Source organism: Homo sapiens, chromosome 15 (assembly GCF_000001405.40).
Source record: "Homo sapiens chromosome 15, GRCh38.p14 Primary Assembly".
NCBI classification, from domain to species: domain Eukaryota; kingdom Metazoa; phylum Chordata; class Mammalia; order Primates; family Hominidae; genus Homo; species Homo sapiens.
Window position 1 is genome coordinate 45,357,716 of NC_000015.10, and position 18,665 is coordinate 45,376,380.

Consider the following 18,665-nt stretch of genomic DNA (forward strand, 5'->3'; position numbering starts at 1 on the left):
ATTTGGCCATAAGAATACAGGAGGTACTGATATGAGCTACAGAGCGAAGGAAACTTGAAAATATTTTGCTAAGCGATAGAAGTTCATCACAAAAGACCACTTACTGAATGATTCCATTTACATGAAATGTCCAGAATAGACAAAATGACAGGGACAGAAAGTAGGTTATTGGTTGCCTAGGACTTGGGGGTACAGGCGAGAAATGGAGTGACTACTATACTAATAGGTATGGGGTTTCACTGTAGGCTGATGCTTTATAGTCTGTGTCTGACGATCTGGTATCTGGAGTCCCTGTGGATGTGTCTTTTGAATGTTGTTTTGCTAGAGGGATATTTTCTCCTCCTGCATCTGTCTGTATTTGACTGTGTGGAGAACTCTGTATTTGAGATTTTATAGTTAGAAATAATTTGAAGCCTAGATGAATGTTACATTTTTTCAGGTATCGTCTTTTTTTTTTTCTTTTTTTCTTTTTTGAGCAGGAATGAAAGTTTATTAAAAAGCTTTAGAGCAGGAATGAAAAGAAAGTAAAGTACACTTGGAAGAGGGCCAAGTGGACATCTTGGAGGTCAAGTGCAATCAGGTATCATCCAAACCTAGGCTAGAGGTTTTCTGGGCTACCTGAAAAATTTGAATGGCAGCTGGATAGCGGACCACAAGGGCCGGTTTACTTCCACTTCACCTCTAGTTCCTGGGTACAGTCAGTGCCGTGTCAAGCCACATTGGAACCTGAGGCAAAAGAAACATCAGTAATACTGATCTTGTCTTCATTTAACATTTTGATATTTTGTTCATCATGGATTTTTTCATTAATTTTGATGCTTAAAAAATACTGCATTATTATTATCTGGATTACCGAGGTTTTTTTGGTCCCCCTAAATTTTGTGGACATGGTGAGTACTTCACTGGCCTCACACTACTTCCAGCCTTGGTATCTGCCTTGGGATTTGTACACCCTGGGCAGTTTGAAGAGAGCAGTTGTGGGTCCCTCCAACTTCCTATAAAATCCCATGAAGGTCTCCTCCTTTATGATACCATTTATAATTAACTATAAGACTTCCACAGGATTAGGGGCCAAAACATCACATTTAGTAGGCTTATCAGATTACTTTTCATCCTCAAAGTAATGGGTTAATAGAAAATTGGAAGGAATAAAACCACGTGCTCATGCCTGTAAATCCCAGCACTTTGGGAGGCTGGGGCGGGTAGACCACATGAGGTAAAATTAATATTTTAGAAGCTAATAAAACTTATAATATTGATATTAACAATCAAATATATTGGGATATTGAACTAAATTCCCTTCAGCATATTATCCCTATGGAGCAGGATTGGCCTGAAGCATATTTTGACTTCAGCAACAATAATTATAGTTTGTAATCACTCAACAGATACATACTACACACTGCTACAGATCAGGTAGGCAAATGAATTGTTGTAAAGTTAGTTCAAATATATGAGAAAGCTTATGATAGAATTTTTGGTTGGTTGAGCTATCTGTATAAGTCCAAACCAACTGGTTATTAAAAATGTGTGGAATCTGTATGTACATTTTGATTATCTATTTGATTATATGATATTGCAAAGCAAGTGGTAGCTCTCAAACTAGGAGTGATCATTTTGTCATGATAAGGCCTTGATCACGGATCAGGGATGTAGACCGCACTGTGGATTGTTTTGAGCATGACTATTTTCTGAGGGGGAAAGCTCCCTCCCACACACACAGAGCGGTGGTGGTGCTGGAGTTACAAGAAAGATGATAATTGATGTAGCAAATTCTGAAAAAAGAGAAAGATTAGGATCAAAGGACGGTTGTGTGGATTAGAGTTGGTGAGAAGTTTCACCTCTTTTTCTGTAGCAGCGAGAGAAGACCCTTTATACATGGTTGAGAAGCAAATGCATGCAATGAGATGAAGGCCTGATTTTTTTCTCTGGAAGCTTAGGTAGCACAGTAGTCCCTTCATCCAAAGTTTCACTTTCAGCAGTTTCAGTTACCAGTGGTCAACCATGGTCCAAAAATATTAAATAGAAAAATGCAGAAATAAATAATTCGTAAGTTTTAAATTGCACGCTGTTCTGAGCTGCGTGATGAAATCTTGCACTGGCCCACTCCACTCCCTCCACCTGGGACATGAATCCTCCCGCTTCCAGCGTATCACACTGTATATACCACCCGCCCTTCAGTCATTTAGTAGCCACCTCGTTATCAGACCACAGTCCTTGTATTCAAGTAACCTTATTTTACTTAATAATGACTCAAGTGCAAGTCTTAATGCTGGCAATTCGGACATACCAAAGTAAAGCCTAAGTGGCTTTCTTTAAGGGAAAGGTGGAAGTTCTCAACAAGAAAAGAAAAAGTTGTATGTTGAGGTTGCTGAGATCCATGGTAAGAACGAATCTCCTATCTGTGAAGTTGTGATAAAGGAAAAAGAAATGCATGCTAGTTTTGCTGTCGCACTACACATGGCAAAAGTTATGGTCACAGAGCATTGATAAGTGCTTAGTTAAGGTGGAAAAGGCATTACATTTTTGTTTGCAAGACATGAAGAGAAAACATGTTCCCGACTGACAGCCATGTGTTGCACCAGATTAACTTCATTAAACTTTATCATAGGTCTGCATGTATAAGAAAAGGCATAGTATATATAGGGTTTGGTACTACCCATAGTTTCAGGCATTCACCGGGGGTCTTGGAACATATTCCCTGAGGATAAGGGAGAACTACTTACTGTAAAGGAAAGGAGAAAGAAACTTAACCAGAATATGCAAATGTGTATAAATCTATAGGGGATCGTAAACTGAAGGAACTAATGCCTGATGGTCTCTCTCTCCTTTGTGAAAAATGAAACAATATGATCAGCTAAGAAAATGTAGTGAAGGTTTGGAATAGCTACTGAGGAGGACGCAAAGAACTGTGCAGCAGAATTGTTGGGTAGTATTTAGGCCTGCAAATATATACCCTAATGTGCACCAATCCAAACAACTGGATAGATTTCTCAAGCAGAATTCAGTCCACGTGTAGGACTAACAGGTGTTTCTGTAATGGATGTAAAAGGAACACCAGGATGCAAAGGAGTTCAAGGCGTTAGTAAGGGTACAGTTGAAACCTGTGATTCATTTCAAAGTACACATTCTATGCAGATTTTTCAAGAAAAAAACATGCAGCAACTTAAGAACAGAGACTCTTCCCTTCCGGGGCCTAGGATTACTCCTTATACTCAGAAGATATTCAGATATTTTTGAATGAGTGAATTAATTAACAAACAAAAATCTGACTTTGCTAAACATTTCTGAATGTATTAGGTTTACTTTTGTGATGAATATGTTGATTATTTTAGAGAATTAGAATTCTGTACCAAGAGCCACATTCCTATAATTTACTTATACTAAAATGACTAGACCAATGCCAAATTCAATCTGGAACACAAAAGTTTATTAGAATAAAAATACACATACGGTATCAACACTAAAATTATTTCACATCGCATTTAGGTTTTACCTCCATTAGTTTTTTTTAATGCTTATAAAGTCTATGCTCTAAATAATTTGCACATTTGTAAACAAATCTTAGATGACCAAAGATGCAGTGTATCTATCAGATATTGAATATCAAAACTTAAGGATGGGAACTGATAGCGAAATCCAATTACACTAAACATTCCTAAATTTTTGGAAAGAGAGAAAAAGATTAAAATAATTCACTTGAAATGAGGTAAGATGTATATGAAAAGGTTTTTAGTAGCATATATCACAATGTTGAGATGAGAATATTAAAAACATTCATGGAAAATTCACTTTGATGTTTTGCATAGTCTAGGTTATTTTTTAAAAAACAAAAAATTAAAAATTACCCAAATTCCTTATTAGAAAAAGAGACAATTACCTGGTTCTACTTAGGATCTGTGTATGTTCTAAGTCTTTCTCTCCTTTAGAAAAAAAGAGATAATCTGATTCTATTTTGGATCTGTGTACATTCTAAGTCTTTCTCTCATTTAGAGAAAAACATTCTCAAGTCTATAGAAGAGGAAAAAAAATTAAGATTAGGACCAACATTTCAAGCTGCCTTTTGGAAAGAAAATTAAAAACAGAGGTAGATGGTTAATTATTAGTGGCCAAGTTACTCAGGTGACTAATTTTTTCTTGGTACACATTCACCAAAATTTTATACTTGAAGCCAAATAGTAAATAACTTTAGGAGTAGAGAGTAATACCTAGCAGAAGTTATTTTCTTTATGTCAAAGAAAAGTAATAGAAGCAAACCAGGCTTACGACCCCTGTTAAGGAGATGATTGTTTAAAGCACTACAGTTCATGCACTTTTTAAAGCAGGAGAATGAACCTTGCCCCTAAGCTTCTTAGGTGTATCTGAGGCCAGCCACAAGCTCCATCAGGCCTGTTCAGTCCAAGTAGGACTGTAAGGTGCCTCGGCGCCGGACATCGCAGGTCCAGCAATGGAAGCCTCCTCCCAGGGAATTGGCATTACGAATGTTAACTTTAATGGTAGTGATACCTGCATTGAAAGAGAGATGAGGTCAGTTAGATGGACTAACATGACGATTCTCATAGAGAAAGTAGGCCTACAGACTTGGAGGAGTCCTGTGGTTCTAATCCTTAAGGATACCCAACCCAGAATAGTATTTTCTCTTCCAATTTTATTTTCACCAACTATATTTCATCTGCTAATATAAAATCTTCTCCAAAAAGTCAACAGAGAACTCTGAAGTTTTGTTCTATTGACTATTCACAAGTCAATAGACTGAGCAGATGTACCTACCAAATGTTCAAAATGGTCAAGTACTAAAATCTCAAGGCCTTTTAGAATTATACATTAACTACTTTGTCAGACTGTTTCTAATTTTACCATGTTAATTTAGTAGGCAAAGCAAAATTTAGCTGACCTAAAAAGCTGACTTTACATATTCACATATAAGGAGAGTTTATCTGATACAGATTAACTTCACCAGGCCACCATAAGGAAACAATGGAACAGAGCTGGTGTTTTAATATCTGGGTTTGTATGGTTATACAGGTACCAAAGCAAATCCAACAATCAGTTTAATCTGGTACCATCTGTAATGACAAGGCTATGATGTGCATGGCCTATTTAACCAATGGTATTTAGGAAGAATCTGTTGTGTTAGATATAGTGGGGTTTTAAAAAGAAAATCTATTATTCTTCCTCAAGGAGCTAATTATTTTGAGAGGAGGATAGGCTACAAAGTCACTAAAGGGTCCATTGGTATAGCCAGGGAGAGGAAGGTGGCATGAGCCATTCAGAAAGACTTTCCTAGTCGCGCATGGTAGCTCACACCCATAATCCCAATGCTATGGGAGGCATAGGTGGATGGATCACTTGAGGTCAGGAGTTCGAGACCAGCCTGGCCAAGCCCCTCTCTACTAAAAATACAAAATTAGCCAGGCATGGTGGTGTATGCTTGTAATCCCAGCTACTCAGGAGGCTGCGGCAGGAGAATCGCTTGAACCCAGAAAGTGTAGGTTGCAGTGAGCCGAGGTCACGCCACTACACTACAGCCTGGGCGACACAGCTCTGTCTCAAAATACACACACACACCCCTTTATAATAGCTCATATGAAAATCCTTTCCCTTCAACATTTTTCTCAATAATACTAGAATCATTGGTCTAAATTTTGAATATCAGGATAAGTAAACTACTTAAGTAAAACCTGGTCCTGCTCTTCAGTTCAAAACTGAATGATTTACTGACACACTTTCTTGCATTTCGCTACTTTGTTAACTATGCTTATCACACATAAAAGTCACTTCTGCATCCGTACCCTTTTGAGTCCTTTGAAATATGTGATGACAGGACACTTTTAAAGGACCCACAATGATTTCTTATTTGAAGAAGGGCTGAACAAGCTATCTGCTCACCTGCAAAGGGGTGGTTTTCTGCACATGGGCACCAAAACGTTGGCTAAGTCATATAAGATTTATAAACTTATTGTTAAGGGGATGTCTCAGGAGCTCAGGATGCATCTCCAACTTGTTGGGGCTACGTGTGTTGAAAATAAAAATACTGACTTTCTGTGAAATAATAACTTGGTGCCTCTAAAAGGAATCAAAATTGAATTAGACAAACCATTTATCAAACCTAGCATGTCATTTCTTTAGTTCTTCTCATTTAACGTTTTCATGTATGACAACATGTTTCATTTGTTGTACATACCCAGCTTTTCAAACATCTTTTGAATTGGAACTTCATTGGCATCCACCATAACACGTTTTTCATCTAGCATTAAGACATTCATGGAAAGCCATTTGGATGACATCCAGAGTGGATGATCTAAAAACAGCAACAACTGTTAAACCATGTCCGCTATCATTTTTGTTTAAAGCAAGGATTTACAAGTGAAGAATATTAAAGTGACAGCTCAGTTCTTTCAGTAGTTCACTTTCCATGTGAACATTTATTTTAATCTTAAAACAATTTATCTATAAATGGTATGAATCAATCTGTACTCATTATACATTTGAATTTCACCCTGTTTTCTTTTAAAAGTCATATCTTGGCTGGGCATGGTATAATCCTAGCACTTTGGGAGGCTGAGGCAGGAGGATTCCTTGAGCCTAGGAGTTTGAGACTATTGCCCAGAGATGGTGCCTCACTGGGGAACACAGCAAGACATCATCTCTACAAATAAAAAAAAATAACTTGCTGGGCATAGTGGCCTGCATTTGTAGTCCCAGCTACTTAGGAAGCTGGAGTGGAAAGATCACTTGAGCCCAGGAGTCTTGAGGCTGCAGTGAGCTGTGACTGCACAACTGCACTCAAGCCTGGGTGACAAAGCAAGACACTGTCTCAAAAAAAAAAAAAAAGTCATATCTTGCTTTACGTGATGTTGTTTTATTCTGTCTTCTCCTTACTTCATTTTCTATGGATGAAAAAGTTGCAAACACAAGTCCCAGCCTTGTTCTGATGCTCACAGTCCCAAGCACCACTTCACACCTTACTGAGGAAACACATTCTCTAAGCTGCTAACATTTGGGCTGCTCTCTATAGGAGAAAGATCCTTGGTCACTAAAGTAATTATTTTAGTCTAACAGTGTATGAAAGTAAACATACCGTCTGGGATGATTGGTGTTGGAGGAGTAATGATAGTCCATCCTGCTTTCTTGAAAAGATCAATCTGTAAGACCAAAAAAAACCCCCAAAACCGTTAAATCTACATATACTATTATTATTATTAGTCTCTAATAGCCCTTATCAGTAATAATTCTCTTTGAGAAGCTGTCTTCTCAGCTTCCAAAAGAAAGAAATTAAAATTTCTAAACATTTGGGTGATTTTGTCTGAATCCTAATTAAAAATGTACATAAAATCCCCAGATTAAAGTTAAAAAGTAACAGAAATGTTACAGCTTTTAAAGATAGTCTTAACTTTTCTCAGGTTTCAGAGACTTAAAAAACCAAAGATACTGTCCTTAAGAAATTCTCATTTTAAAAATTGAAAAATTTCCTATTTAGTTACAAGAAAACAAAAATGTGACTACATCAAACCCACAGTCCTTCTACTTCTTGCCCATCATTTTGTATCTAGGACCATGGTATAAAGACAGTTGTTAGCTATGCATTCTCAAAGAACCATATTGTCCTTAGTGACCTTTTACAACTTAGCCGTCCCTGTGTTCACATACCCACTTACTATACGAATAAATGATAATAAAATGAAATGAATAAGTAGTCATGGTCATCGGGTTTAAAAATAAAAAACAGAAATGAACAGTGACACAGTATAACAGTGGTTTTTAAAAGTTGTACTGCAGCCTTGCAAGTAACAGAAAATCACTCATCACCTAACTGGAAGTAGGAGGCTATGGACAGAAAGTAGGAGGCTGCAGGTGAAGGGGATAGACCAGCTGCAGTGCAGTGGCTTCACTTTTCCCTACAGAGCAGGGTTGGCCAAAGGGAGGCTACCCCACTGTAGAGGGAATACAACCACTGCCCAGTGGCATTGCCCTGGCCATGCAAGGATGATCTTGTCCAAAATTCGCTGCTGTGGAACCACTGTTGCAAGTTATAACACCATCGTTTGATAAAAATACACACATATGCACAAACTTGAGGCTCTGACAACAGCAAGTGGCCAAAGTCTGATGATCCCATACTAATTATTGTGTCAACTATGTATATTTCTGCATGGTGGACATCTTGTAATAAGCCATAAGGAATCCAATGTTTGATCATAATAATGTTGAGTACTGCTGAATCTGTCATTTAGAACCATTAGGAACCATGGAAGTGCTTAAAATAAAAGTGGCAATTATTTTAGTTACTAGATTCTGTTGCTTTTCCAGAGTCCCAAGAAATCTCTTACCTGGTGACATGGTCGGTCAGGGTTGGAAAGCACAATACCAGGTCCAATGATGTTGAAGGTAGCATCAATATGCATGGGATTGGGATCTTTAAAGGAGATGATATGCACTCTGTAGTCTGGAGCAAGATGCCTACGCATCCATTCAATGCCTAGGTAGTTTGTAACCTGAAAACAAAAGAAAGACATACGATCGATAAATATTTGGTTCTATGTCTAGAAAACTAAAAATATTCAAGGTGAAAAAAATTTAGGATGAAAATATTTTAATTTGGAAGTAAAGAATACAATAATATAGTGTGAAATTTCAGAGGCAGCCTGCGTTCACCTGGCTTCTCTGTGCAAAAATATCTCTTCCAGCTCGAATGAAGTCAGCAGCATCAAAGCATGGCTCAAACTCAGTTGTCACAAATTTTCCCTGAGCAGCCAATTTGTGTCTGTCTTCTACAGAGTGGATGGGATAATCCTAATTGGAACAAGAATGAACACACACAATGCACTGGATCATGAGAAAATTATTCATAAGGCATACAGTACTAAGAAAATTAGTTTAACATCATTTCCCAAAATATTACTACTCAGTTCTAGACTAAAACATGCCTGGGAAAGAAGCGGGTCCATGATAAATAAACCAAAACAACAATAAAACAAGAAACTAGCATTATAGTAATTTCCTGATACAACAGTCCTCCTTTACCCATGATTTCACTTTCCATGGTTTCAGTTACCTTCAGTCAACTGTCGTCCCAAAACATTAAGATATTTTGAGAGAAACAGAGAGACCACATTCACCTAACTTTTAGTAAAGTATATTTATATAATTGTTCCATTTTATTATTCATTATTGTTGTTAGGCTCTTACTGTGCCTAATTTGTAAATTAAACTTTATCATAGGTATGTATATATGTACAGGAAAAAACAAAATATATAGAGTTCAGTATCAGCATCCACTGAGAGTCTGGAACATATCCCCTGAGGATGAAGGGGCACTATGTACTTAGAAAAAAATGGTACACACCAGGTGAGATGGCTCATGCCTGTAATCCCAGCACTTTGGGAGGCCAAGGCAGGTGGATCACCTGAGGTCAGGAGTTCGAGACCAGCCTGGCCAACATGGTGAAACCCCGTTTCTACTAAAAATACAAAAATTCGTCAGGCATGGTGGCATGCACCTGTAATCCCAGCTACCCAGGAGGCTGAGGCAGGAGAATTGCTGGAACCCGGGAGGCAGAGGCTGCAGTGAGCCGAGATCACGCCACTGCACTCCAGTCTGGGTGACAGAGCAAGACTCCATCTCAAAAAAAAAAAAAAAGTGATACAGAGGCAGTAACTGATTCTGAGAATATTCCATGAACCGTACGGAAAGTAAACAGGATGAAGTCATTCTGTTCTTTTAGAAAAGGAATTTGGTCCCGAGCTTAACTCATACCATAAAACGAGATGCCATGTTTCCCCTGCCAAATTTGATTGGGAGTGGCAAAACTAATTCATTATTTATTTCTGTCTTTAAACCCAGAAGCTATTTTGATTTTTAAATTTTTTTCTATAAAAGATCAAATGGTAACTGATTTAATAAGGGACATACATTTCATTTTACTGTGAATTTGAACTGTAGATCAGGTTCTTTTTCTAGAAGAAGAAAGTGAACTTCAGTCTAGTGACTTTTCTGGTTCCACTAATGAACAGTGGTACACCTGTAGGCAAGTTTTTCCCCATCTAATGGAATGATACTACAGTATGATTAGGGTTGTTGTGAAAAACAAACAGGATTGAGGATGTAAATAAAGGGTTTAACCCAGGACCCAGAACAAGGTAAGCACCAAAAAGTGTTAGCCATTATTATTATTATCATAGGATCATTTACTCTTATCATATTCATCATAAAATAATCACTTTTTAAAAATAAGATGATGTTTTCGGTTTCTAAAATGCATAATATATACAAGGTATCAGAGAATCTCTATCTTACTCTTTGTGGATCATTTAGAAAAGTTAGTAATAAGCTAGCCTATAATTAGGGACTCACCTGGTTATAAAGCTCATCAGCCATTGTGGGCTTAGGAGCTGTTGTCCACTTGGCGCCACGGTGGAAGTAGTCTTTGATAATTGACCTGTACGCTCGGTACTCAAAGAAGCGTGAACGCCATGCCATGGGAGCCTCGATAATCTCATTGCCCACAACTATCAGGATGTCTCGAGGCATTGCACTGTATAAACCTGTCAGACCAAAAAATTCCATGACAACTTCAGTAGTGTTAATTTCCAAGACAAAAAAGGTCTATATAGGGCCAGGCACAGTGGCTCATGCCTGTAATCCCACCACTTTGGGAGGCCAAGACGGGCGGATCACTTGATCCTCTTCAAGAGCAGCCTGGCCAACATGGTCAAGCCCCATCTCTACTAAAAGAATACGAAAACAATTAGCCAGGCATGGTGGCACGTGCCTGTAATCCTAGCTACTCGGGAGACTGAGGCAGGAGAATCACTTGAACCAAGAGGCAAAGGCTGCAGTGAGCCGAGATTGTGCCACCACACTCCAGCCTGGGCGACAGAGTGAGACTCTGTCTCAAACAAACAAACAAAAAATGTCTATATAATATTACCTCTTTTTTTGGTTAAAAAAATTGCTAGAAATACATGTGTGTATATATATATGAAAATAGCAAAAAATTCGAATAACACATACTAGATTGTTAACATGAATTGTGTGGTGGGGGGGAAGCCCAGAAAAAAAAGAAAAGAAAAAAAAGTGAAGGAATAAAGTCCTTGTACAAAGAGATCTTGAACCACCAAGCTTTCACCATTTGTAAGCTCCTTTCTTGCTATACAGAAACACAGCTCTTAAAGGACTATCGGTATCACAAGATAAAAATTGAGCCAAGGATCAATCTAAAACTAGAAATTAGAACAGTGACCTAAGGCACAAGAACAGTCATGCAGCAATGTCAGTTAAAAATAAAATGGAAATGTTTCTATTCCCCTTTTAATTTCTGTTCTTGAGGAAAATTAAACGAATCCACTGTTATTATGTAAGGAAATGGCTATAAAGTTTAGGAAAACTTGTCATTTCAAGGAGATTCCACGAGATGGAATGGAGTTTAGAATGTATACATCTTAATCATATCAACATGGACCAAACCATTCCTAAATAAATCTTTAAAGTTTTCAAGAACTAGCAAAGCAAAGGACTCTCCAAGAAATTTTTTGGAGCTTTCCCCTTACACATTAAGAAAGAAATTGAAAATTCAGACACTGGCAGTTTAGTTATCTGACATCACTTACCCGTAGACTCAAAATCAGGAGTTTTATACTTCAATGACCAGTCAATGGGGTCAGGCCTCCTTACTGTCACTCCTTCCGTTTTTAAAATATTGCACATTTCTTCAATTTCAGCAACAGCCTTTTTCAAATGATCTTTGGGAAAATAATGCCCTCCTTGCTTCTGGTAAAATGGCCAGTACTTTTCATATGTGTTGGCCTGGAAGTAGAAGCAAATAAACACAATACTTACAGGAGAAAAATACAGCTCATGATAGGTTCATAGGCAGTAAACAGCTCTTTGTATAAGGTATTGGAATTGAGACTCCAACCACTCCATGTTCAGTGCTGATCCCTAGCATTGAGCACATAAGCCCTCTGGGCAGACACTCAGTATCTGTTGAATGAAGAACTCTAAAACATCTTGATATTTTGAGGCCTTTTGCTCCTCCTGCCTGAGATCTCATGGCCAACCACTAACAGCATGTTTACCTTCAGACAGACTTGGAATCCTCTTGGCCAGTTTTTTTGCCATGCTTTGCAGACAAAACAGGACATAGCACTTCTATTAGAGAGCCTCAATAAAATGAAACAAGAGAACACACAAACTAGCATAAGAGAATAAAAGCACTTATACTAAGCCAAAACCATGGGCTATCCATGCATCTCAGAATTCTGTCTAGAAAATAGCACCTCAAGATATTTTGTGAAGGGAAAAAAAAAGATATTTTGCCCCGTTAAGATCAGGAGCATACTTTCAAATATGCTTTATTTCTCTTAAAACCCCATTATTGGCCAGGCATGGTTGCTCAGCCTGTAACCCCAGCACTTTGGGAGGCTGAGGCGGGCAGATAGCTTGATGTCAGGAGTTCAAGACCAGCCTGGCCAACATGGGGAAACCCCATTTCTACTAAAAATTCAAAAATTAGCCAGGCATGGTGGCACGTGCCTGTAGTCACAGCTACTTCAGAGGCCAAGGCAGGAGAATTGCTTGAACCCAGGAGGCAGAGGTTGCAGTGAGCTGAGATCGTGCCACTGCACTCCAGCCTGGGTGACAAAGCGAGACTCTGTCTCAAAAAAAAAAAAAGAAAAAGAAAAAGAAAAAGAAAAAAAAAAACATTATTGATTTTCCCATTCAACAGAATTAACACTTGCCAAAATTGTGTGACAGTGCAAATCTGCCTTTGGTAATTCCCTGTCAATATGCCTCATACCAACCACACCTCTCCTTTTTCTAATCCATTCAGCTCTCACATCTCTTCAAGTCTTTTTGTCATACAAGGAAGTGATATGATAAGCAAATTCACAAATTTTTAATAACTGAAAAAAAATTTAGAAAGTTTCCAGGGCTATGTGTATTTTAGAAGACAACTAAAGAGAAAACATTTGAATGCTTTAAAATGGCTCAATCAGTTTGCTAAAAATTATTGTTGAATAGGGTAGGTGCAACAGCTGTTAAATATTGTTGTTTGTTTGTTTTTGTTTTTGAGATGGAGTCTCACTCTGTTGCCCAGACAGGAGTGCAATGGCACCATCTCAGCTCACTGCAACCTCCGCCTCCCACCAGGTTCAAATGATTCTCCTGCCTCAACTCCCTGAGTAACTGGGATTACAGGCGCATGCCACCACGCCCGGCTAATTTTTTGTATTTTTAGTAGAGACAGGGTTTCACCATGTTGGCCAGGCTGGTCTCAATCTCCTGACCTCGTGATCCACCCGCGTCGGCCCCCCAAAGGGCTGGGATTATAGGTGTGAGCCACCATGCCCGGCCAAAATATTGGTTTTCAAAAATGTAAAAATCTAGACAGATTCTGCATTCAGATTGTTTTCCAAATGTCTAAGTTCTTAGTCAATTTCTCAATCATAAATACATTGAGAAATGTACGTGATGCATCTTCCCATTTTTCAAGCTAAATGAAGCAGAACGCCAATCAGAGAATCCAGACTCTAAGAAAAAGCCTTGAACCTTCATCAAAAGATTAGCAAAGCAATGTACATTGATATATTTTAAGTTTAAAAATGTTTTAAGTGTTTTAATTTAAATTTTTGTTTAAAACTGGTTAAAGCAGGTATTTTAAAAATGTTTATTTATATAATTGATGAACTGACAAACTACTAGTCCTGATCATGTCAGATATGACAGTCTCCACCATAAATCAGATAATTTCAGATAGCAATAAGTACTAGAAAGGTGTAAAACTTGGTAATGGGCTCAAGTGTGTCACAGTGTGTCTACTTTAGCTGGATATTCTCATTTGGTTTCCCAGCAATCCTATCAAAGAAACAGGGCAAGTTCTCATATGCTTATTTCACATGTAAGGAAAGAGGCTCTGGCAGGTCACATGCTTGCTAGCTATCTGGACAAGCAGGACTAGAACTCAAGTTCTCTGACTGTTACTCAAAGAGTGTCCCTAATACATCATGGGACTTGGCCATGTTATACTGGTTTGAACACTTCTAACTAGATGTGCAAAAACTTTTAAGACTGGAATTGCTTAACAAGTTCAAATTGTCCCAATGGCTTTTACTCATCAAGACTGATCAAATGTCTAGATGTTTAGCTCTTTAATGTCAAAAACAATATCTTTTCTAGATTTTGTGTCTCGACTTCCATTTTTATCTCAGTCTGACAAATATCAAATATATGAAAGTGGACCCATCTCTGGTTAGTTCAATATCCAGGTTCACATCAGTTACGCTGGAACCTAGCTTGGTGAATAAGGAATAAGCCAAGAAACAGGTCTTTAGAAAAACTGAATGATGCCAGTGAAAGTCTTAAACAGAGGCTGGTAAAAAAAGGTCCATAGGCAAATTTGGCCTGCTGCTTGTTTTTGTAAATAAAGTTTTACAGGAACGCAGGCACATTCATTTGTTTACGTATTGTCTATGGCTGCTTTTGCACTACAATGGCACAGCTGAGAGTTGAGTAGTTGCAACAGAGACCGATGGTCTGCAAAGCCTAAATTACTTATTATCTGGTAGAAAGATGAAGTTTGCTGACGCCTGGGGTCTGAATCATTAATTAGCTCTTTTACTAAGGTCTATAGGCAAACAGCAGGCTGAATTTCTGGACTAATGAAAAATGTTATCATCATTAAACATTTTTAAAGACCAAGCTACCCTTTCAAAAAACAAAATAAAAGCACTCCACTGTTTTCTACTCCTAGGAATTTCTGCAACAGCAACCAGAAAGAGGATAATAATGACTCTTTATATTCCTCTCAGATACATGCTGGTACTACTCATCCATTCACCACTTCCTCCTTCTCATGCCAGGCACATCTCCTACAATCCACTAGGGACAAGAAGCCTTTGAAAATTTAACACTGGGTTACAGCAGATGCAGAGTTATGCTGTCTTGCCAGACTCATTCCAAAGTATCCTCCGTGACTATTTGTGCAGGGTGAAGCTTGCCTTGATAAATTAAACCTTCCTGGGAGAAAAAGGTTATTTGAACAAATGTGATTTTTTCTTGTAGAGTTTATAATCTGGCAAAGGTTGGGCAAAGTACAAATGATCAGGGCACAATACGTTTTACAAGAGATAGCTAGAAATTGTTTACACTTCCTTTATAACCCTGCTAAATGAGCCAGCAATCATTCACCAAGTTGTTTGCAAGATGATGAACACTATATTAGACGCTTAGCATATGATGCTTTTAATAATCTGTTGCAAAGGTATGTCTGCATTCCTTGAACCTTTATATTCTTTCAAAGCCTAAAACCCTTTACAAAGGTTTGCCAAGTGAATTTTTAAATACTGTCTTTGGAAGGCTAAGAAATGACAACAGAAATGTATTTATCCAGCTGTAAGCTTATATTACACTAATCTTGATTAATCTTGTATTTTATAAAAGGTCCTTTATCAAGGGCTTTATTTTTAAAAGACAAAAGCAAAACAAAAAACATATTTGAGGCTGGGCACGGTGGCTCACCCCTGCAATCCCAGCACTTTGGGAGGCCAAGGCGTGTGGATCACGAGGTCAGGAGATCGAGACCATCCTGGCTAACACGGTGAAACCCCGTCTCTACTAAAAATACAAAAAAAACAAATTAGCCAGGCCTGGTGGGGGACACCTGTAGTCCCAGCTACTTGGGAGGCTGAGGTGGGAGAATGGCATGAACCCAGGAGGCGGAGCTTGCAGCGAGCCGAGCTCACGCCACTGCACTCCAGCCTGGGCGAGACAGCGAGATTCCATCTTAAAAAAATATATATCTATATATATATATATTTGATAGCAGATATTTACTATATTTTGCAGAACAAAAAGTCACAGAGCTTTAAAAAATTATGCTTCCCAACAATTATGTTCCACATTCCTTTCCTTAAAATTTCTCTAGTACTTATATCTTCCAACATCTTCTGCTCTGATTGCCTATGGACAGTTTACTACATTATTTTTTCTTTTATTGTTCCCAAACTGATTAATATATGTGTCATTCTTCTCTACTACGAGGCATGGCCTTGCTTGCTAGGATCCATGCATGTCTTAGATTTACTTTCTTCTCCCTCAAAACCAGGCTTAGCACATGGCATGAAACAGAAATAACCATTATTTCCTGTCTAGAATCAAAGAGAGAAAGAGAAAGAAGAATAAACAAACAAAAAGAACCAGACGAATGAAATCAATACTGCTAATGTTACTGATATCTACAACTATTACACCGACAAAGTACCTTTGGAATGTAATTGGCAAACTGGATCCATACAACTATAATAAGTTGTTGTGTTGTCCTTTAAAATACTTAACATGTAACCTTTTATCTTTAGATTAATCCTTAATCCTGTTAGGTAGATAGCAAACTAGCAAACCTCTTAATATCTTCATTTTACTGTGGCCCAGAAATTTGTGGAATCTTGTACAAGGTCAAATAGCTAAGTAACCGAGACTAGCTATCAAGTTTTTATCAAATACCTAATTAATCCCAGACTCCTGACTTCAGCATGGTACTTTTTCCACAAGTCCATGAAATGACAAAGTCTAAAGTCATAAATCAAGTGACAAAGAACTCAAAATTACCTCTGAGAATTCTGATTCTGTAAAATCGCATGATATGAAAGTCTATCATTTTAAAGACAAGTAGAAGGATAAATTATTGCTTGGATTTAAATTTTAATTTCACCCAATTAAAATGGTTAGGGGATGGGACTTTTCAAGAAAAGACTTAAAAAGACTACTATGCCTTTTAAAAACATGTGGATGGTGTATAAATTAATCTTCTCATCAAATTCCAAATATCAGAACCAAAGATAGTTTCAGAACAATTAGAAGTTATTACTTTTTCTATTTCCCTGTCTTCCAAGTCTAACTCAGGAGTCATTTTCTTCAAGAGGACTTCTTAACTGGCCAGCCCTTGGTCATTCCTCTTTCCTGGCACTTCAACTGCCTTGTCAGTCGACTGGAATAAGATACTTGGTCTTCGTTTCTATGTGAACATCAAATCTCTTCAAATAGAAAGGAAGATCTTTTATATTAATACCTCTAGAGCCCTGGTACATGGTAGGCAATATTTCTGAAGACCACGACAATGCTGTTACAGAACTTCTTTCCTCAATCCACTTTACAAATAAAAGTGTAAATATTCAGGAAAAATTTAAGGACACTAAAGATACATTTGTAACCCATTATTAATAGGAGTCTAGGCTGTGTCTACAATGTGGAAAGTGGTCCCTTAGATATGGAATCCTTATGCAGTATAGAACCTGAACACCAGCCCATAGAGGCCCTGGATATAAGAACGTTACAGATAAAAACCACTAGGAGTTTTTGTTTGTTTGTTTGTTTTTGAGATGGAGTCTCACTCTGTTGCTCAGGCTGGAGTGTAATGGCGCCATCTCAGCTCACGGCAACCTCTGCCTCCTGGGTTCATGCCATTCTCCTGCCTCAGCCTCCCAAGTAGCTGGGACTACAGGCACCCGCCACCACGCCTGGCTAATTTTTGTATTTTTAGTGGAGACGGGGTTTCACCGTGTTAGCCAGGATGGTCTCGATCTCCTGACCTCGTGATCCACCCGCCTCAGCCTCCCAAAGTGTTGGGATTACAGGTGTGAGCCACCGCGCCTGGCCACCACTAGGAGTTTTTAAAAAGAGAGATATTACTTGTTGCCAGGGAAATCCTGGAAGACTTTGTGAAAGGTGTCATTGAAGCTAGGTGGTGGTAGGTTTAAACTACAGACTAAAGGGCACAGGAAGATGGATGGAAGAGACTTAGGTAGGGGCAAAGATGCAGGGCTTGTGAAGAAACAGTGAGTAGTCTAGCTTAGCTGCCTTATATGGTTGTCTTATAAAGTCTGCTGAAAACCAGGGTGGAATATTAGAGGATAGAGGGACTTGACCAGAAATGAACACCTGCTAATCTGCTGTACTAACAGATGAGTCAATAACTGGAATGGGGAATCCTGGAAATGCAGACAAGAGTCAGATTGTGAAGGATCTTGAATACCATGAAGACTTTATCCTAAACAATGCGGGGGGTGGTGGGGTAGTGGGGGTCGCCTAGCAAAGTACAGGAGGAAAAGAAGCAGGATGAGTAACATGATCACATCTGAGTTTTAAAAAATCACTTGGATTGCAGCTGCCAGGTGATTTGGTGAGAAGAGTGAGTAGGAGTGACCAGTTAGGAGTTAACTGCAATAGTCCAGGCAGCAGATGAGCTCCCAACCTTTAGGGAGAGGCAAAGCAGAGGAATGAGGCAAGATTCATTTTTGACAAAAGCCTTGTTACATCACGTGACATAAGGAGAAATCAAAGATGATTCTTTTGTGTTTTAGCTTGATTAAATAGGAATGCCAATAATTAAAAGGCAGGAATGAGGAGGGATCCACTTGAGCAGGTGGCTGGCAACTGAACTCCAGATGTGCCAAGTTTGAAGTCCTGTGGCAATATCCCGTAAGGAGTTTAACTCGTTGATCTGGAAGGAGTTCAATACAGAGATCCGGACCAGAGAGGAGGTGGGAGCGGTAGCTGTGAGAATGGCTAAGAGAAGGGGGCTGAAAGTAATATTCTGTTCAACCTTGCCATTACAGGCTGTGACGGAAGAAGATCTGAGGACAGTGAAAGAACTATTATTCCCAGAAAA

General features: G+C 38.5%; 1 protein-coding gene across 6 annotated transcripts in view; it reads right to left on the reverse strand.

The window, feature by feature from the left end:
- GATM (glycine amidinotransferase) overlaps positions 3,409–18,665 on the reverse strand; it is a 41,104-nt gene continuing 25,847 nt past the window's right edge. For all 6 annotated transcript variants that reach the window (XM_047432387.1, NM_001321015.2, XM_047432385.1 and 3 more), the window contains 7 exons: positions 11,611–11,806; positions 10,355–10,545; positions 8,656–8,793; positions 8,331–8,495; positions 7,082–7,145; positions 6,185–6,301; positions 3,409–4,506 (listed from right to left, as the gene is read on the reverse strand). In XM_047432387.1, the coding sequence (XP_047288343.1) occupies positions 4,394–4,506; positions 6,185–6,301; positions 7,082–7,145; positions 8,331–8,495; positions 8,656–8,793; positions 10,355–10,545; positions 11,611–11,806 (984 nt within the window). In that variant the 3' untranslated portion in view covers positions 3,409–4,393. The remainder of the gene's footprint in view (positions 4,507–6,184; positions 6,302–7,081; positions 7,146–8,330; positions 8,496–8,655; positions 8,794–10,354; positions 10,546–11,610; positions 11,807–18,665) is intronic.